The sequence below is a fragment of the Homo sapiens genome, chromosome 2 (genome assembly GCF_000001405.40).
Source record: "Homo sapiens chromosome 2, GRCh38.p14 Primary Assembly".
Taxonomy (NCBI): Eukaryota; Metazoa; Chordata; class Mammalia; order Primates; family Hominidae; genus Homo; species Homo sapiens.
Window position 1 is genome coordinate 30,782,344 of NC_000002.12, and position 21,452 is coordinate 30,803,795.

The following is a 21,452-nucleotide window of genomic DNA, read 5'->3' on the forward strand; positions in this document are numbered from 1 at the left end:
GGTGTCAGCGTCACTCCCTTTTCTATTTTTGCTAGAGGACTTAGATTTATTGGCATCAAAGTTCTCTGGCTGAATGACACTTGGCTGTTTGCAGGGTCACTTTCTGCCATTTTTTGTTACCTATTGCCTTATGGAACATTTTCATAACCTAACCTGCACTTACAACTTTACCTTGTTAACCTCTTCCTTTCCTGAAGAGCACGTTTTGGTCGCAAGGTGAGTCGTTTCTAGTGAATGATCCTTTCAGAAACTGCTCTGGCTGTGTGGAAGGAAGATGTCACTGGGATAGGCAGTGCCTCCCTCTAGGATGGCCACAGGCGGGAAGCCACAACGGGGCTGTGCTGAGCTTCGAACACCTGTTAAGCAACGTGCTTGGGGCACACAGCCCATTTTTCAGTTGAGAAGTAAAACGTCTTTTACTATAAAATGGGTACAAAGATGAAATTTCAGTTTATCTGACAACACTGGTGATTGTTGTGAAGCTCTACTGTCTACCATCGTGTACTGTCCAATATGGTAGCCACAAGCCATATGTGGATACTTACATTTAAATTAATTTAAATTCAATAAAAGTTAAACCTTTAATCCCTCAGTTGCATCAGTCACATTTCAAGTGCTCAATAGCCACACGGGACTAGTGGCTACTGTATTGAACAGTGCGAGAAGAACATTTCCATCATCACAGAATGTTCTATTGGATGGTGCTGATCTATTTAATGAGGATGATAGTATTATCTACCTCACAGGACTGTGAGGGTAGTTAAATGAAATATTGCATGTAAAGTGCTTAGCATAATACTTCACTCGTGTGCATGCTTGATAAACTATCCATGAAATAAAAATTCTCCTAAAAGGGGTCCACTCTAAGTACTAAATTTAGCTCAGGGAAATATCACATAGATACCTCACATGTAAGTATAATCTTTAGCACTGTCCCTTGCTGAGACCAGGGTTGTAGGAAGCATTGAGGCTGATGAGGAGTCGGGTCCTCTCAGTGCCATTTGCACAGGGCACCATCATGGGCTACTGCGGAGCCTGGCTGGGGGAGGGGGAGGGCTTGGGAACAGAATAAAGCAGGATGTGAACGGGGCTTCCTTCTACTTCAGAAAAAGTTTCAGCAGCAAAATGGTTTAGATTATTGGATTAATTGTTAGAGGAAGGAAGGATAAGAGCCAGAGGAAGGAAAGGGTAGGTAAGATGGCAGGGAGGAGAAAGAAGGAAAGATATATGACACAAAACTTTTCTGCACCAGGCATAGAAAGCTAAGCCTGGTTCTCATGCCCCTGACTTCTGGGCTAGTGTTGAACCTGCCAAGCTGGGATGAATACTCAAAACAGAATGATGTCCCTTGTGGTTTACCAGTTGCCTACAGGAGGAGCTTTCTCATTGTCAGGAAAAACTTAGAATGTGGAGATGGCCTAAAACACCTTGGTGCTACCTCAGCCATTATATAGTTGAAGTTTAAGGGCCACTGGTCAGACCTCTGGACAGGCACTCAGCAAGCTATAGCTTGGCAGTCAACTTTCTAAAAATAGTGATAGAAAGCAGAACATGAGGCTGGGTGTGGTGTCTCATGCCTGTAATCCCAGCACTTTGGGAGGCTGAGGTGGGTGGATCACTCGAGGTCAGGAGTTTGAGACCAGCCTGACCAACATGGTAAAACCCCATCTCTACTAAAGTACAAAAATTAGCCAGGCATGGTGGCTCATGCCTGTAATCCCGGCTACTCAGGAGGCTGAGGCAGGAGAATCGCTTGAACCCAGGAGGTGGAGGTTGCAGTGAGCCGAGATTGTGCCACTGCACTCTAGCCTGGGCAACAGAACAAGACTCCATCTCAAAAAAAAGAAAAAAAAAAGCAGAACATGAGAAGAAAGGCATTTTCTACACTCCCTGCCAACCTTCTTTCAGCCCCTGACCCACATTTTTCCCTGAAAGAGTTTTCTTAAACTGGCCAAGGACTGAAGCTGAGATGGCTGGACTGTGAAAACCCAAGAATCCCAGGGAATAGGCCCTGAGGCTGCTACCTTATGACTTTTCCCAAATTAATCACAGTAACAAAAACTAGTGTTTACTTAGTGTTTAGACTGTGCTAGACACTATTCTAAGTATTGTACTCATTTAGTACTTAAAGTAATCATATGTGGTACAGGTGCCATTTTTATCCCTAAAAAGGGAAAAAAGGGCAGAACATAGATCAACTTTAGAGAGGGATTGATTCCTGTTTTACTCACATGAGGTAGAAGATTCTACTAGTGCAAAAAACATTACTAGTGACAGGCAGGAGCCCAGAATAGGACATAAGCTTATGATGAGGCCTTACAAGGGTCATGTAACATGGTGTTAGGAGCTCAGGTCTTGGAACCAGACTCCTGGGTTCAAATTCCAGCTCTAGTATCATCTAACTATATGACTTTGGGCAGAGGTCCCCCTACTCTCTGATTCTGCTTCTCAGCTGCAAAATGAGGCTCACAACAGTACCTTATCATAGAGTTACTGTGAAGATTGATGAGTCAAAGCTCCTAAAGCCAGGCCTGCCATGTGGTCAACACTCTGTGGGTGTGGCCATTACTACTAGGATTGGGCCAGGCTGGTGTGGCTCCTCTTCCAGTGCTCTCTGCAGTCACAGCTGTACACTGTGGGTCAAGGACATCACAGTGTCGAAGGGGTGAGTACATTGGCTTTTTCCTTTACTGTCCTACTTGGAAAATACGTCAACTCAGAGTTTCTTTCTTGCACGTGTGAACTTGAAACATGCATCAGGCACATGTAGATAGGGTCCTTCATTCATCCATTCACTCATGTACTTGTTCATCCAAATTCCAGCAGAGTCCCTGCTAGGCACTTAAGTCAGTGGGGGGAAAGTGCAGCAGGTGGAAAGAATCTTCATTTAAATTCTGGATCCTTCCCTCTCTAATCATGTCACCTTGGCATATCATATTACCTGTCTGAACATCAGTTTTCTATAAAGTTAGGAGAAAACAAAGCAGATAAAGTATGAGAAGACACATGGAAAGCTCTGGAAAGTACTACACAAAGGTAAGTCTTGTCAACTGTGATAAGAAAGACAAAGAAATATGACATCTAAAAAGAAGTGCCAGAATGAAAAATACCCCTGTCCCCAGTCCCCCCAGTAGAGCTCAGGTAAGCTTTTGGATGAGGAGAGTAGTAATGGGAAAAGCAGATTCGGCCCCTGGCTGCCTCTATTTTGGGTTCCTGGCATTATTCTTTATAAGTAATTTCACTTCTGTTGGCCTCAGTTTCTCCTTGCCCCCAAAAGACATCACAAGTTGAGTTGTTGTGAGATTCAGATAATTAGAATCTCTCAATCCTTTCTAAAGAGAAGTGTTATAAATTCTTCAACACTATAAATATGGTCTTACATCTATTGCTCAGCACCTTGTGAGAAAAAAATCCCACCACTTTCTGAAATAATCTCAGCCTCTGAAAATAGCAAAGGGAAAAAAATGACCTTTTGGAACTTCTTTAAATAGAATTCTCTGCTTCAGCTCTCCTTAGGAGGTAAAGGCTAGAAGAAGAGAATCATTGTTGAGGACTTACTGCCAATGGCTGATAAGAGGACCCTAGAATGCTGAAACACCCCACTTTTCTCTAAGCAGCATCCCAAACCCTACCTGATCCCTAACCCTTCCCTTCACCAAAGCTTCAAATCTGCCCCAACGTAGGGCAAGAGGTGTGTCGCCTCCCAGAGCCTGATGTCTTCAGTTCTCCTTCCCATGTGCAGAACTGAATTAGATATCCACAGACCAGACAAATACTTTAGAGGACCTCATAGCCTCTTAGTAGTCACCAATAGAAAATAACTTTACTCTGTAACCTACCTTCACTTTATGGGAAGTGTTTAGACAGTGCTTGGCATTTAATCAGTGCTCAATAATGGTTGCAGATATTATAATGATTAGCTTACTAGACATTCTATTATTTTATCTCATTCTAGGTTATGCTGGTGCCTACAGAAGTGTGAATAGAGGTTTGGGCAAAAGGGTCCTTAGGGTGGTCCTTATCCGGGTGCTTTGCATCAACAGTAGTCCTGATGAGATTATCAGAATGTTGAGTCAGCTGAGATATTTTCCGTGGACTTGTCATGCCCTAAAATTAAGATAGTTCTAGAAAAACCAGAAGGGCTCACCTGGCTGCAAGGTAGAGGTAGTGGCCATCTGCTGGGGTTGTGGAGTCAGGGAGGTCTGAATGTTGTCCTGCAATTTCTCCCTAATTTTAAAGTTAATGTCTAAAATTCTCTTACAGGTGGTCGAGCCTCTCTAAGATCGAGAATGGGAATATAAAGCAGAGAGGAGAGGTGATTATTTAAATTCATCCTATAGTGTAAATGACTGACCTGCTATCTTCCCTTTGAGCAAATTCTAACAGGGAAGGAAAAAAGAATATAAAGATACTGACACCTGAAGAGAAGAAAGGGTGACAGAGTGATAGATGGGGTCAATTATGGGGTGGAGGAGACTCCAAAGAGCAACAACTACAATCTTCATACCCGTGGTTTCCCATTTTTTGGATGAAAAACTGAGGTATTTTAATTTAGTGGTGTACTTAGTGTTAGAACTGGGTTAGAACTCAGGAGTCTGGGCTCCTGGTTCCTGCTATAGCATCTTCCCATCCTGCTGAGTAGCTACAACACTGTAGCAGAGATACCTGGTGAATTTCATTCTCCTTCCAGTTTGGTTTGGCTCCACCTCCTTTTGGCTGGAGGTGCCATGGCAGGCGACTCCGAGGACCCTGGAGCTGGGTATGCTCGTGTGGGGCTCACTCACCTGTGGCCGCTTCCATATCACATTGGAGAGGCGTTTTTCCTGGAGCAGCTTCTGGCCTATGGAAGAATCTGCTGCAGGGAATGTCTCATCCTTAAACGTCCGGCCCATGCTCAGGCAGTGATCCCGCAAGGTGGTAAAGTCCTGGTCTTTGAACTTGATGATGGAGGTCTCCACTGAAGGCTCCTGGTAATACGCCATGACTCTCCTTAGAAGACTTCCGAGGTCCTTTCCTGTTGGTGAGAAAAAGGGATACCTTTGGGGTAAGCCATCAAGTCCTTTGCATCATCAAATGTGAGCCCCAGATGGGCACTCTGATATACCACCCTTTACAGGGACTGAGACTAAGTCTGCACTGTCCCTGGTGGCACAGTCAGTGAGCCTGAACTAGGATTCAAGCATCCTCACTCCCAGTTAACATTTCAAGCTGCTGTACAAAACAGCTTTCCCGTGTGCTTTCACGTGCACAAGAGGCTATGGGGTACTAGTACATCTCATGAACATTTATTGAGCACTGCCAGGTGAAGAACTGGTAGGTAGGTTAAAAAGGTATCCACAGCTTCCCTGAGCAGCAAGTGCGCAGAGGCCCATGAGTTGCATTGGAAAGGTCACGGGGTGTTGGAGGGTTTTGTGGGATGGGGGCAGAGAGGGTGGGTAGGAAGTGTTGGATGACATTGCCAGAAAGGTAGGTTGGAAAGCTGGGTGAGGAAATGTTTTATACCCCATAAACTCTGCAGGGCTGTTAAAGAGGTGGGGCATGATCAGATCTGTACATAGAATGGGGCTGCTAGGAGCAATCTGGGGACCAGAGAGAGGGTGTGGGCAGGGACTGGAAGCAGGAAGGAAGCCAGGAGCTCCTGCACTTGTCCACAGGAGAGACAGTGGTAGAGCATCAGAAGGGAAGATGGTGGAGTGTGGACAGATTTGGTGTAACTTTATAGGTGGAGAATTGAATATGGGGGATAGGGAGGAAAAAAAGAAAACGAAGAAAAGATAGTGCAGTGAATATCACATGGGTTTTGAAGTTTGCTTTCTGCTTTCATCAGCTACATACTGCTTCTGCAATTTGGAGCGAATATTCAAGCCTGTGAACCTATTTCTCCACCTGTATGGATTGAAGCTATGAATCTCATAGGTTTGTTATGATATTAAATAAGTTTTGACCTAACCAACTGAGCAGAGTGACAGGCATGCAGTAGTCCCTCAGTAAATGTTAGCATCCCAATTTTCCTTGAGTTGACAAGGAAGGCTGAGGTTTCTTGTTCAGGCAGCCACAGGAACGTAACTGGTGCCATTTACCAAAAATGTACCACGTCCTCCATCTGTGAGGCTGGCCTGGATGGGAATCCTGAATCCATACTTCCTAGTTATGGGAATTGAAAAACCTCTCTGGTCCTTAAAGTAGGGCTTTTCAAGCTTCTTTGATCAGGGTCAGTGCAGGTGGCACAAAAAATCCCAAGGTCCCTGTGTTGCACCCATTTCCACTTCACAGTGGAAAAGGAAGCAGGTGATAATGAATGAGCAAGGACTATAAAGGAATAAATTCTAAGGAAAGAATATGAACTCATAATCAAAATTTTGAATCCTAGAAAAATACATGTAAACTTAACATAACTTAGCAATTTTCTTACAATTACCTTGTAATAGCATGTGGCAAGTTATTTAGATAGCACAAATTCATAGACAGAATATCACCAGTCATTGTGCAAGCATATTTGGAGAGAATTGTGCATACAACTGTCTGACAAACAAGATATGAATAATTTACATTTACATTTGAACTATTAGATTGGACCATACAGAACTGCCATTTTTGTAGGTCAAAAATGGTTGAATATAGTCAGTTTCATAGGGTTTAACCTAAGGTAAGAAATGGTTAAATACAAACAGCTCTGTTTAGTTTAACCTAATACACATGTACATTTCTTCAATTGAGTTCTTATAGAATAATGGCACAAAATATTCAGTATGTCTCACCACTCAAAATAGGGTTAAAAAGAGGGCCCGCAACAAATTAAATAGTGATAAAGCTGAAATGTCAAGATATCATTCAAGAGTAAGAAAACAGTGATAGAAATTGATTGTCAATTCAAGACAAAAGGCGATGGCACTCGATAATGAAGAGTTGTGAAAATCATGGGTCTACCAATTCTCTGTGCATGCTCGGGGACAGTGGAACCAGTATAGCATTGCCAAGCCTCCTACCTCTCAGGAAAATATTGAATTACAATGTGTGATAAATTCTAGCAATGAGCTAGTTTTGGTTTATGAAAACCAAATTGTAGTTACCCTTAATAATACAATTATGGGATTGCCTGTAAGTAGCCCTTAATTGCATATAAAAATGAAATTCTAAAGAATTTTGCTTCATTTCTCCTTTGGAATCATACAAAGGTCTTATATGCGAGGATCAGTTCCTAGTCCATCTGGGGGGCCCCCACTGTGCACTATTGGATGGAGGACTGGCCAGACTTTAGGAATTCCCATTCTAAGATTCACTTGCCTCATTTGTGAAATGGAGATGATGATACTATTACACATGTTATAGGGTTGTTGTGAGACTCAGATGAAACCATGCTCCCAGAACACGCAGCACAGTGACTGGTAAGTACAAAGCAGCCAATACATGGTGGTTATTAGGATGATGATCATTGTTATTTTGAGCAGGAAAGGACTGTGCAGAGGCCCAACACTGTCTAAGATGAGGACTTGCTCATACCCAGGACAGGCTAGGCTCAGAGGGGCTTGCAGGGTGAGGACCAGGATGGTCAGTCAGACCTGGGCCCTGGGCTCTGTTACTGCTCTGCATTCACTACATGGGCTGCCCAGGCCTGGGGGAAGGGAAGGCTTGGGGACAGGCAGCAGGCTGGGTGTCTGCTGCTGCGGAGGTGGGCTGTTCTGGGAGGAGACTCTTGATGGGGAAGGGAGAAGCAGGCAGGGGAAGCTTGTTCCCGCCTCCACACACATAGTTCTTTCCTCTGAGTTGCTCTTGGCTTCGCCAGGGAACAGCCTGTAGGCTCATGTTCTCAGGAAGGGCCCACAACACCTGACAACATTTCACTTTTGTGCACAGCAGAAGAGGACCACCTGATTTTCCTGCTGTCACTTTTGGGAGGGCTTTCTGCTTCTTTCCTCTCTTCTCTACCCAATCTGTCTCACTTTGCAGGGTAGCCAAAGGCAGAAGAAGACTCAGCTTTGTTAATTTAAGGGAAAAAAAAGATTGCTGAAAGGCCTACCTGATATTCAAGATAAAGTTTATCTTGCTGCTGGGGCAGCTCTTGGGTGTTGCAAGAAAAGTCACACAAGGAGAGCTAGAAACATCACAAAAATAATTGATATAAAGTTCTTCATGTAAGAAGCTTGTGTGAGCTCATCAGTCAAGCTCAGAATTAGGCTGAGAAGCAAGCAGGAGCCGTGGCTTAGGGCTACAAAGCCTCTTTAGCTCCCCTTGGTGTCTACGAAACGAGCTTCCCTGTGTCCTTTGCTGAGTTGGGTGACTGAGTGAGCTTGGGCTGCCATAGCAAAATACCACCAACCGAGGGGCTTAACTGCATTTATGCCTGAGGTTGCAATTTTTTTAGATGTTTGCAGTCAGACCTTGGTGATGACCTTGAGCAGTAGGATATAAATAACTCCCACATGCTTAGCGTTCCAATAATGGAACACTAGGCATAAATGGGTTAACAACAGGATTTATTTCTCACAGTTCTGGAGGCTAGAAGTCAGAGATCAGAGTGCCAGTATGTGGTGGAGGGTGGGGAAGAGATCTTTCCCTCATCCTCTTCTTATAAGACCACAGTTCTATCAGATTAGTCCTCACTTTTATGATCTCTTTTAAGCTTAATTGCCTCTTAAAGACCTTATCTCTAGGTACAATCATGTTGGGGGTTAGGGTTTCATATGAATTTGTTGGGGGAGGGGGACGGTACAATTCAGGCCTTGGCAGTGACTAACCCTAGCCTGATCCAACAACTCTCCTAGCCCTGGCTGCATACTGCAGGAAGTGTGCAGATCAAAGGGGAATTGGGTCATGTCGGTAAGGTTCTCAGAGAATAGACAGTGGATGTCAGTGAACACAAGAACAAATGACAGAGCAGCAACAGTGATAAGTATGTGAACATTATTTGAATTAACGGAAAAATGATGAGGGCTCCTTAATGGGAGATATGTCTTAGATACTGCTGAGCCATACAACTATGTCTTAGCAGTATCTTGATATGCCAGCACCTAGCGCTAGGCCTGGCACATAGTAGGTATTCAATAAAATCTCCTGAGTGTCAGCAGATTAAATATTACATATCAGCTATTCTTGAGTGTGTTCTGTGAAGCAGTTGCTTCATGAAACACTCCACAAATAACAAATTATGAGATGAAATTATTTTGGAAAACATCTGATACTGAACAGTCTTTACAGAAATTCACAAAAAGCTCCAAGAAAGCCTTCGATAAAGAAACTTAAGTTTGCTCCCAGTGTTTCACACATATAACCAGTAAGTCCTTTTATTGGAGAACTTTTATTAACATTTCATGGAAAAGATGCATAAGAGTTAAGTGACTTCAGAACATCCTGACTCAAGTCCTCATTCTGCCTCATACACACTAAACACCTGTTTCTTCATCTGTCAAATGGGAACATGATACTTTGTTGAAAAATTAAATAAGAAAATATATGGAAGGAGATTTAAACCATGAAATATTTTATGAAAAGATGTTCATTATTATTTATTTATCTGACTCTAATCTTGTCCTAACCTGCTTGTATTTCTCTCTCTCAGAAATAAATAGTTGTAAGAATACACAGATAAATCACCTAAATTACATCTGCCCAGAAACATGAAAAGGGCATTTATTGCCCCGGTTTCTCTCTTTTCCCTGAGCTACGTGTTGTTCTTCTACATGCAAATTCACAGGCGGAATTCAATAACAATAGAATATTTAGGTAAACCCCAAATATCTGGAATTAAACACACTTTTAAATAATTTATGAGTCAAAGATAATATCATAAGAGAATTAGGAAGACGTGAATAAGTAGAAGGACATAAATAAGAAAGACAAGAGCAGAAATTAGTAAAACAGAAGACGGATAAGAGCAGAAATTAATCAAACAGAAGACAGACAACAGATAAAATGAGCAAAGCAAAAATCTGCTTCTTTGAAAAGATCAACAACATTGACAAACCCCTAGTCAACTTGATCAAGAGTGAAAGAGAGAAAACATAAATCGCCAATATTATCATTTGATAAAGGGGTTATCACCACACATCCTATAGACATTAAAGGGCTAATAAGAGAATACTATGAACCACCCAATGCCAACAAATCTGCTAAGTTACATACAATGGATCAATTTCTTGAAAAATACAATTTATCAAAGTTGACACAGAAGAAACAGAAAATCTGAATAATGCCACATATAGTAAAGAAATTGAATTTACTATCCAAAGCTTTCTCCAGAAGAAACCCCTAGGCTCAGATAGTTTCACTAGTGAATTCTATTACACCTTCAAGGACAGAGTAACACTAATCTTACGTGAACTTCCTCAAAAAATAGAGGAGAAGGGAAATACGGCTGAACTTATTTTTATCAGCTCAGCAAAATACTAAAAACGAAACCTCATAAAGAAATCTTCTTCCTGAAAAAAAATTACAGAGCAATATTCTCACGAATAGAGAAGCAAAGAGCCTTAAAATTTTAGCAAATCAAATCCAATAATGTAAAAAAAAGAAGAAGAAGAAAGATACCACATCATAAGTTGGGTTTATTTCAGGAATGTTAGGTTGATTTATATTTTTAAAAATCCACCTGCAATCTACCACAGTAAAAAGCTACAAAGACATAATTTATGATAAAAACTGTTAGAAAACTAGAAATAGTAGGTAACATCCTCAGGAGGGTATCTGTGAAAAATTTACAGCTAACATAATATTTAATGATGGAAAGTGCATTTTCTTCCCTTTACAATCAGAATCAAGGCAAGAATGCCCACTGTTATAGTTCTATTTACCACTGTTGTGAAGGTCCTAGCCAATGCAACAAGAAAATTAAAGGCATAAAGATCAGAAACAAGAAGGTCCTATTTTGGTATTTTGATGGTAGGAAATCTACAAAACAACTACTAGAACTAATACTTAAATTTAGTAAGGTCACAAGATACAAGGTTAATATTAAAAAATTATATTATTATATAATAGCAACAAAAAATAGGAGAATAGTAACATCCAAAATACAAAATACTTGGGAAAAAATATAACATTAAAGACATTAAAGATATCTACATTAAAAAACTATAAAACATTGCTGAGAAAAATTAAAGGAAAACTAAATAAATGGAGAGATATATCCGGTTCATTTATTGGAAGGCTCAATACTGCCAAGATGGCAGTTTTTTCCAAATTTCTCTATAGGTTCAATACAATCCTAACCAAAATTCTAGCATGCTTTTTTTTTGTTAGAAATTGATAAGCAGATTCTAAGATTTATATCTAAATGCGAAGAACCTAGAATAACCAAAGCAATTTTATAAAAAGAAGAAAAAACTGAAGGACTTACCCAACCTGACTTCAATACATATTATAAAGCTACTGTACTGGCAAAAATATAGACAAATAGATCAATGGAGAAGGGTAGAGAATCTAGAATAAATCAACACATATATGGCCAATTAATTTGAGAGAGGTTTCAAGGCAATTCAATGGGGGAAAGAAAAGTCTTTCCAAAAAAATGGTGCTGGATCAACAGGATTTCTAAATGGGAAAAGTACAAACAAACATGGATCTTACTTCACACCACACACAAAAACCAAGTCAAAATGATCACAGACCTAAAGGTAAAACTTAAATTATAATACTTTCAGAAGAAAACATTTGCAAACTTGGGGTAGGTAAATGTGTTTTTGATAGAATACAAAAAATATGAGCCATACAAGAAAAAAAATTGATAAATTAGACTTCATCAAAGTTTAAAAGACACCATTAAAAAAACAAAAATGCAAATTTCAGACTACGTGAAAATATTTGCAGCACGTATATCAGACAAAGGACTTGAATCCACAACATATAAAGAACTCTTACAAATCAATAATCAGAAAAAAAACCCACTAAAATGGCCAAAAGATTTGAAGACACATCACCAAAGAGTATATAAAAACAAGCAATAACCCAACTTGAAAAGATGTTCCACATCATAAGTTATCAGTGAAATGCAAATTCATACCATGGTGAAAGCTCACTATAGGCCATTTTCTAATGGCCTAAAATTTAAAAAGACTGATCACACTGTTTATGGGGAGATAGAAAACTGGAACTTTCATACACTCTCAGTAGATATGTAAATTGGTATGACTACATTAGAAAACAGTGTGGCAGTTTCCTAAAATGTTAAAACATACACCTTCAAAATGATCCAGCCATTCCAGTCCTAGGAATTTACCCAAGAGAAATGAAAGCATATGTTCATACAAAGACTTGTGCATAATCAAAACAGACATATTTAATAGCCAAAAGTTGGAAACAATCCAATGTCCATCAAAAGTGAATGAATAAATTGTGATGTACCCATAAAGTACTACTCAGCAATAAAAAGAAATGAATTATTGATACATGCAACAACATGAATAAATCTCTAAAATCATTATGCTATGTGAAAGCCAGTCAAAGTAGAATACATATTATATGACTCCATTTATAAAAAAATCCTAGAAATGCAAACTAATGTACCATGACAGAAAGAAGTTCAGTGGTTGCTCAGAAATGGGGGTGGAGGGAGGAATGGGTTTTGAGAAAACTTTTGGGGGTGATAGAAATATTTTCATCTTGAGTGTCATGATGATTTCACATGTGTATACACATCAAAACTCATCAAAGTTTATACCTTAAACATATGCAGTTTTTGTATATTCTAAGTAGAGTTGTTTCAAAAATTAAATGCTATATATAATTTATATAGTCTTCTGTAATTTGCTTCTCCCTGCACCCCATGGTTAAAAAGTAGCGGGATTTCATTTATTTCACTGCTGTATGTTACCCTATGATTTATTTGTACTTCTCCTCTCAATGGACATTTAATGCTCTTCTCTGTTTTAATGAAAAATAATGCTATAAATGTTATTGTACGTATCTCCTGATAAACATGCAAGAGTTTCTCTAGTTTATATTACAAGGAGTAGAATTTTTGGGTTTAGGAAACGCACATACTCAACGTCACTAAGTATGCCAAATTATTGTCCAAGGTTGTACCAATTTATAATTTCACCAACAGTGTAAAAGAGTTGCCATTGCTATATATCCTCACTAACTCTTGGTATTGGCAGGCTTTTTATTTGTACCCATCACGTGGGAGTAGGTGGTAACTCCTATGTCTTAATTTGTTTCCCTGATTACTGGTAAAATTGAGCATCTCTCAATATGTTTATTCTCCATTCATGTTCCCTCTCTTGAGGAATGAATATTCATATTTTGTGCCCATTTGTCTATTGGGTTGTCTTTTTCTTATTGATTTGTAGGAATTCACTACTCACTCTGGATATTCGTCTTTTGTTGGTCATATGTCTTGTAAATATCTTCTCCCAGTTTGTGGCTTATCTTCTTAACTCCTTTACAGTGTCTTTTGATGAACATCAATATTCTTTACACTAATACAAATGTATTACAAATATTTGCTTTAAGTTTAATTTTTATAAATTGAGCCAATATTAACTCTTATGGGAATTTAATGTAAGAAACTTTGTAAGAGATTCTCTTTTTAAAATAGAAAATTTGTAATTAACACATTCTTCCAAAACACTGATTTAAAAATTTCTTATAGCTCTATAATAATATTTTTATGAAGTCCAACATATATATCAAAATCTGAAATAGACTTGCAGAGAAATACTTTGAGTACTTAGGAAATAAAGCTGGTATCTGTATTAGCAAATATAGCTTTGCCAAAGCCAATTACTTAATTTTCCCTCCCTTTTCCTTTCTTCCCCAAAATAGAGTCCTTACTTTGCAGGAAGAGAATTACATATATATATGTGTGTATATATATATATACATATATATGTGTGTATATATATATACATATATATGTGTGTGTATATATATATACACATATATATGTATATATATATGTGTGCATATATATATACGTATATATATAGTCTTGATTTTTAAAAAGTATTTGATAAAATCTCCACCTATTCCCTGTGTGTAGACTACATTGAGTAGGTTGTATATCACGTACTATGACAGTGCAACGTAGCATAGTAAAGTAGAATACAGTGTAGTAAATAGATTTCGCAGTTTGACCCAGAGATCATGGATGAATGGTCTGGAATAGCTAAGAATCATTGCACTGTAATAGTCACAGAGCTCTGTCCTGTGTCCTGTCCTATTCTACATTTTTATCTTGGTCCTTAAAGAAGATGTTGAAATAAAAATGAAGATCCTTTTCAACTCTTTCATCATTTTTAATAGTGGAAATCAAGAGCAATTAACCAAGCAGATAGCAGAATCAAAATTCTAAATGACTTCAAAACCAAGAAGATGAAATTAACTAAGGAAACTGCAAACCTGTCTTTACATTTAAAAAGTTAACTATGCAAGTAAATAGTGAGCAGGATCTGTCTTGGCTAAATTTCATTTTGAAAATATTTTGTACGCCTCACTTGACTTCCTATTTAAAATGAGACAAAACTATGAAAGATTTGGCAGGCTCTGACCAGATTCAACAGCAGTAAGGCACTGCTCTAGACAGGCTAGCCCAGCTCTAGGGGCCACATTCCAAGAGGCTTATCGGCACTCTCAATGGTATCTGAAAATGAGTGTTTGAGTAACATAAGCATGCCTGGCAGGGAGGCAAGCCCTTTGCTTGCAAGCATGGGCTCCTGGCATGCAGTTATATCCACCTGAAAGAGGTGGCAAATTTTCATATTGGCAAAAATGTGCCAGACGGGCGGGAGGCAGTCCAGCTAAATAGACAGGAAGCCTGGAAACCCCTTCCTGGTCAGAGATCTAGAGAGGTTTACTGGACAGAAGGCCGACTGAGGGGTCTACAGTGATCCTCAGACTCAGCCCCTGCAGCCCAGGTCCCCCTCCCTCCAGAATAATCCTGCTGTAAGAGAGCAGATATTTAACCACCTCTGGCCCCACAACTGTACTCCCAACCCCTAAGTTTCCCTACCGCCAAGATTATGCTCTAGTTCAGAAAACTGAACTCTGCCTTGTGTCTTAAGGAAAAAGGAAAAAGAGGCAGCATGGAACAGTGCTCACAGGCACATAGAATCAGGTTGAAACTTGGGTTTGAATCCAGCTGTCTCTTACTGACTGAATGATCTTGGCCAATACTCTTAATATCTCTGAGCCTCCTTTCCTTACCTATAAAGTGGACGGGAGGTGGAGGTAATAAAACCAGCCTCGTAGCAGCAGACGGATATTAATTGAGAAGATTCTTGTAAAGGGCTTGGCGTGGCACATAATAAAAGCTTGTGTCCATTATGCTATCAGCAACTCCTTGAGTGTCCTGCCTGGCCCTGAACTTGAGCCCAGTGACTACAACCCTGCACCAGCTGGTGGGCATACCAGGCACCTGCCAGTCACCTCTGAACTCCCAACCTCGGGTCTCTCCAGGTTCCAGAGTTGTGTTCTTTCCATGCGTTGAGACTGTCATCTCCTCTACCTGCCTGGCAGAAATACTGGGTGCACCCTTGCCTCTGGCCCTAAGCCATGCTGTAGACCAAGCTATCTGTCAGCATCTCCAGCTGGGCCAGTGTCCCACAGCCTCTATCCTGTCTGAGGGGGCTTTTTCCTCCTCTGCTTACCCTGTCCTACACGATGGCCAGGTGTCCCTGAGGCCAAACACATGTCCAGTGGAAAGGATATGAACGCAAAGGAAGAACATGTGATCTGTGCAGTTCAGACGGTGGAAGGAGTCAGAAATTTGGGGAAGAGTGATTTTGATTAGACTCTGCAATGATGGAAGTGTTCTATATCTGTGCTGTCTAATACAGTGGCCACTGGCCATACGTAGCTATTGAGCACTTGAAAGATGGCTAGTGCAATTCAGGGACTGGATTTTAATTTTTATTCAATTTTAAATAATTTGCATTTAAATGTAAATATTCACATGCAGCCTTATTGCATGGTACTGAAGAAGAGAACTTCCAATGACATGAATTACCACAGAACAAGGAAGGCCGTAGCACTCTTGGGTGGAAATGGTTGAGCAGAGGCTGGATGACTCTACACGGGGTCCCAGGAGAGCCTTTGGATTGGGCAGATCCCTTCCAACTTCAACCTACTGAGCTCTCTCTCTGCTTTTCTTCAGTGTCATATTTTGGGCACTAAACCACTCAGTGACTTTCTGCCAGTGATGAAACCACCTCCCTGCCCCAGTGACAGGTTGCTCTGGTGTCCCTGTCCGCAGGATGCTCCTAGCATATCCCAGCAACAAAGGGTAATTTTGTTTGCATTTTGTTTTCAATCAGCTAAGAAACAGGAAGCTGCATTCAATGGTTTCCTGCCCAGGAGTGCTGCCTGCGGCCCTCTCCTGGCTGGTGTTTTTCAGAACAATGGAAATAAATCTGATGTAATGTAGCAGAACACGACAGGGGACGGTTTTCCCCTTAACAAATACTCATTTGAAATGGTGCCCAAACCCTGCACGAGGAGCAATCTATTTCCCACAACAGTGTTCCAGCAAAACCCATTACTAATTCCACAACTCAAATTAAAACTAACAGAGCTTGAAGGCTGGGGCTGACACTCTCTCTGCTGACAAGGAACAAGGAAGGGTGGGGGAAGGGGCCTGTGCACTTGTGTGTGTATGTGTGTGTTTAATTACACTGTTTAACACATCGAGAATAATTTAGCTACCCGAGTGGAGAAAATAGGCACTTAACTGCTCTCTGGTGGGAAAAAGATGTGCAAACCACTTTCAGCTATATACCACCTTGGCATACCTCAGGGCTTTGAGGAGAGAGAGGGAGACAGAGAGAGAATGAAGCAGAGAGAGAGAAGAGAGCAAAAGAAGGGGGTAAGAAGAAGGAAGGAAGACAGAGAGGGGGAAAAGGAAGGAGGAGGAAGAGAGAGTGGGTGGGAGAGAGAGGGAAGAAGACAGAAAATTTTGTGTGTATACAAATCTACAGCAAGTTGGAAGAACATGTGAGTATTTCTCAAAGAGCTTATGTGAGATGGTGTAAGTGTGAGAATGAGCTTAAACATCGGGTTTGAAGATGGAACTTAACCGCCAGACCAGTGCTGTCCCTGAGCCACTCTGCACTTCAGAATCATCTCAGTAAGTCTCCATGCATGTGTGGCCTGAATACCATGGTGGGATTAGTGGCCCCCAGAAAGGCAGACCTCAGAGGAAGACTATGCAGGGCTCACTTTGCAGAAGGGGAAAGTGGGGCTCAAGGTGAAACAGAAGAAGTTTAGGCAGCGCTTGGGCTTGACTCCTGTCCTGCCCCCAGCTTCAAAGCTGGGGTGATCTGGCCTGTGAGCAAAGCATGCCTCCGTCCCTGCCGAGGGCATCCTACTTTGTGTCTAATCAGGGCTGAGAGGGGCAGAGGTAAGCTAGTGTTTCTCATCCTCTGAGATAACCTCTGATCCACCGAGGGCCAGGGAAGAGGCCATGAAATGAAATGAAGGAAACCTCTCTCGTGTCTTCAGATGTAGAAAGCTACACAGGGCCAGGCGCAGTGGTTCACTCCTGTAATCCCAGCACTTTGGGAGGCCAAGGTGGGCGGATCACGAGGTCAGGAGATCGAGACCATCCTAGCTAACACGGTGAAACCCCGTCTCTACTAAAAATACAAAAAAATTAGCCAGGTGTGGTGGCAGACGCCTGCAGTCCCAGCTACTCGGGAGACTGAGGCAGGAGAATGGCATGAACCCGGGAGGCAGAGCTTGCAGTGAGCCGAGATTGCGCCATTGCACTCCAGCCTGGGCTACAGAGTGAGACTCCATCTCAAAAAAAGAAAGAAAGAAAGAAAAGAAAGAAAGAAAAGAAAGAAAAGAAAGAAAGAAAGAAAGAAAGAAAGAAAGAAAGAAAGAAAGAAAGAAAGAAAGAAAGAAAGAAAGAAAGAAAACTACGTAGACCTGGAACAGGTACCAGAGAAGTAAGTGCTCAGAATAGACCTCTCTATTGCCTGCCAGTGACTCTGGGTTCAGCACTGGAGCTGACTGCCAAAGAGATCAACAGCTTGGCGCAAGAGAGGCAGAAAGCAGAAGCGACTTACTGAGGTTCCACAGGCAGGGCAACCCCAGCCTCTTCTCTCCTTACTGCCCTTGCTGTGTGGACCCAGCCTCTTCCTGAATCATAGCTCAGAGAGCTCTGCTGATGGGTTCTTCTCAGGAGACCCTGGGGGTAACCAAGAGAAGGTTTGCCTGACAGAAAGAATCTGTGAAGCTCCACTAAACTCTATGGGCCTTGGGCACGTCGCTCCCTCCCCTAGCCTCGGTCTCCCCACTTGGAACACTAAGGAGGTTGGTCTCGCACTTCTAAGTGCTTTTCTACTGTAAGATTCTGTATTTCTGGAACTGAGACAACAGGTTCTTATGTAGCCTCAATGATACTGTTAGACAATAAAATAGGAACCCACAGAATGTATTATTTCTTTCAATTAAGTTTAGGTTTGTGCCAATACACACAAAAAAGAAACTTGTCTTTGCATGGAAATCTCCTTTCCCCTCCCTAGAGCATTTGATAGGTGTCATTCAATTATGATAGGGTTGAGTAGACTCAACTATATTCTAAGGATGAGGTAGAGCATTCTTTTTTCTGGGAACTAAAACTACATGAGTCTCAGAAACACTGTGTAATATTTAATCTGTGCTCAGATTTCCCAGCATGGTTTTTTTCTTTTTTCATCCTTGAAGGAGAGATGCACTTCTCATTTAGCTAATTCAAATTTTTTCTGAAACAAATACAAATTTAGTAGACTTAGGAAGTTGGGGCCTGCCATGTACCAAGTTAAAATGCAGGGTCTTGAGAGCCGCTGTTTCAGACGAGTACTCCCCAGGCAGACCCTCGGCTCCGGGCCTGCTCACTTCCCAAAGGCTTGAACCGCAGAAGGCTAGGTTTGGGGTCTTTTTCCTTTCTTATTTTTAAGGCTCTTTGGAAGTTGAGGCCACATTTATATAATCCGTTTATTCTTAAAGGATTTCCCTGGGCCTATCTTCTTAGGCTTTTTCATTTAAATGGACAAAGACAAACAGAAAATGGATGAGTACTGGGCACGGTGGCTCATGATTGTAATCCCAGCACTTTGGGAGGGTGAGGCGGGTGGATCACGAGGTCAGGAGTTTGAGACCAGCCTGCCCAACATGGTGAAACCCTAACAATACAAAAACTAGCTGGGCGTGGTGGTGTGCACCTGTAATCCCAGCTACTCAGGAGGCTGAGGCTGGAGAATCGCTTGAACCCGGGAGGCGGAGGTTGCAGTGAGCCAAGATCATGCCATTGCACTCCAGCCTGGGTGATAGAGGGAGACTCAGTCTTAAAAAAAAAAAAAAAAAAAAAAAGAAGAAGAAGAAGAAAAAGAAAATGGAAAAATGGATGAGGCAGAGGCCAAGACAGAGCAACCACACAAAGAGAAAGTCAAAGACTGGCTGGGCGACAGAAAGGGAGCCAGGGACAGCCAGTCAGCAGGGATGGAGACTGAGGAAGAGAGTGGGAGGAATGAGATGGCCCAGACGCAGGGAGGACAAAGTCCACCAGGGGAAGGGATTCTCACGCCAGCCCAGCATTGACGGTGCCAGAATTGTGTCCAAATATTACCCTGTTTTCTTATCCCTCAAGATGTGAATTCTCAAGGCATGGCTGGAAAACAAGGAATGCAGATGATGTGACTCTCAGATGGAGCTTTTTAAAGACCACCGCCCCCTGCGCTGCGTCTAGCCACAACACAGCGGAGAAAGGACAGTAGAGCCGGCTGATGGACCCCTGGCCCGGTTACCTGGGCATCCCAGTCTGTGCCTGGCCATTCTGGGTCTCTCAGGCCTGACCTGTGGAGGCTGCAGAGGCGAGTAGGCTGAGCCCTGGACTGGGAGCTCTGGTTGGGGGGTGGCGGGGGTTTGGAGACAAATCCAGTAGTACCAGTGGCCAAGCACGTTGACTAAGGGAGCCATTCCCTTTTCTGACCAGGTGCTCGGAGACACACGATGAAGGTCCCCAGGAAGGCCCAGGTCAACCTTCTTGTTCTGGAGCAAGCTTCCATCCAAGCAGATGGGGTCCCATCTCTGGGGTCAGGATATGGACCAGTGGGAGGAGAAATGTTTTTCAAAAACAAGAGCTTTCTATATTAAATATGTCAAAAAGCAACATGAAAAAGAAGGAGCTTAGAATGTGTGTGTGTGTATGTGTGTGTGTGTGTGTGTGTGTGTAAATGTGAATGTAAACGTGTCTAAGTGAGTGAGTGAAGCAGAGAAAGGCAGGCTGGGGGGGGGGGGTGGTGGTTAGACCTCTGAGGTTTCCCTTGTTCCTTCTGTCATTCTTTCCCTCTCCAGCCCTAAGAAACGGGGAGAGCCAGAGCTTCTGAAAGCAAGGACTGAGGGCAAGAAGGAAAGACAGAGGAAAGAGAGAGGAGCAGAAATGGCCTAAAAACCAGCTCTTGCAGGGTCCACTGGGGAGATGGTGGGAAGGACAGGACCTGGGGCAGGGGGTACAGGCCTGGGAGCCTCTGCCTGAAAAGAGAGGTAGATGCAGTCCCAGGAGACCTCCACCCCTCTTGCTGTCTGGCCTATGTTCCAGAACAGGCAGGGAGCTGTGGGGAATCCCCACGCCCACCTAGGGCAGGTGACCTGGCTGAGGAAGAAGGCTTGAGGACAGGTCTGAGGGGATGGCAGCACTGGCTCAGGACAGCCCCTGGGTTGACGGAACGTGCATCTGGTGGTCTGCTGGCTGGAGTCCCAGGAGCCAGCCCCTGCAGAAAGCCTCTGCCCTCATCTCCCCCAGGGCCATGCCATCCGACTGTATCTTAAGTTCCTGCAGAAAGCTAGAGTTTTCTGAGGTGGGGCTTAATGGTATATGTAGTTCAGCTGGTTGGCTGCCACGTCTGGTTAAGGATTAGAGTGGGGAGAAAAGAGAATGTTTGGCGAGAAGAACAGGGGCAAAGATTCCTGTCATCTCTCCATCACCTCTCTGGCTTCAGACCTTTGAGAACCAGTGGTCTCTAGTGGGCCACTGGGTGCATCTCCCGAAGGCAGTGTGTGGCTGTGATGGGAGACAGCGCCCCTCTGTGTCTCTGGTCTGCAGGCTGGGACAGGGTCTTGTTCAGTCCTCTGAACTGTGTGGGAGGTGCTGGTCAGACCTGGTCCACAGGCATGGGAGGTGGACATGGCAGGGCTGACCAGTGGAGATCAGAGGGCAGAGTGCTGCCAGAGGGACCATTCTTTCAGAGGGAAAGGAAACAAACCTCCTGGCTGCTCCCAATTTTAAAGGTCCCTTGGGACTTACTTGGCCGAAGTGAGGATGTTAACCCCAGAGTCCTGGCTGTCCTCCAGCCCAAGTCCTTAGAGGCAGCTCGTCACCCCAGCCACTACCGTGGGACATGGTACACGTCCCATCTCATGTTGAACTCACCAGAGAGGGCGGCAGTGGGCAAATCTCCACTTCATAACCCTACAACATGTATTAACAATTTGGATCTCTTTATTCACTAAATAGTTTGTCTCTGAGGCAACACAAGAGA

The 21,452-nt window shown here is 42.6% G+C and overlaps 1 protein-coding gene across 9 annotated transcripts in view, besides 2 other annotated features; it reads right to left on the reverse strand.

Annotated features, from left to right (window-relative positions):
• The window catches only part of CAPN13 (calpain 13), an 84,676-nt gene that overhangs the window by 59,573 nt on the left and 3,651 nt on the right, over window positions 1-21,452 (reverse strand). For all 9 annotated transcript variants that reach the window (XR_939741.4, XR_939742.3, NM_144575.3 and 6 more), the window contains one exon: window positions 4,785-5,014. Coding sequence is in view for 7 of the 9 variants with exons in the window: in NM_144575.3 (NP_653176.2) it covers window positions 4,785-4,982 (198 nt within the window). In the remaining 2 variants the exon portion in view is untranslated. The remainder of the gene's footprint in view (window positions 1-4,784; window positions 5,015-21,452) is intronic.
• Window positions 14,928-15,637: an enhancer, noted in NCBI's record as "H3K27ac hESC enhancer chr2:31020137-31020846 (GRCh37/hg19 assembly coordinates)". NCBI's record gives its function as "activates a minimal SCP1, AML or CMV promoter by ChIP-STARR-seq in naive H9 embryonic stem cells {active_cell/tissue: H9 hESC(naive)}" and the evidence as "EXISTENCE:reporter gene assay evidence [ECO:0000049][PMID:30033119]".
• Window positions 15,638-16,345: an enhancer, noted in NCBI's record as "H3K27ac hESC enhancer chr2:31020847-31021554 (GRCh37/hg19 assembly coordinates)". NCBI's record gives its function as "activates a minimal SCP1, AML or CMV promoter by ChIP-STARR-seq in naive H9 embryonic stem cells {active_cell/tissue: H9 hESC(naive)}" and the evidence as "EXISTENCE:reporter gene assay evidence [ECO:0000049][PMID:30033119]".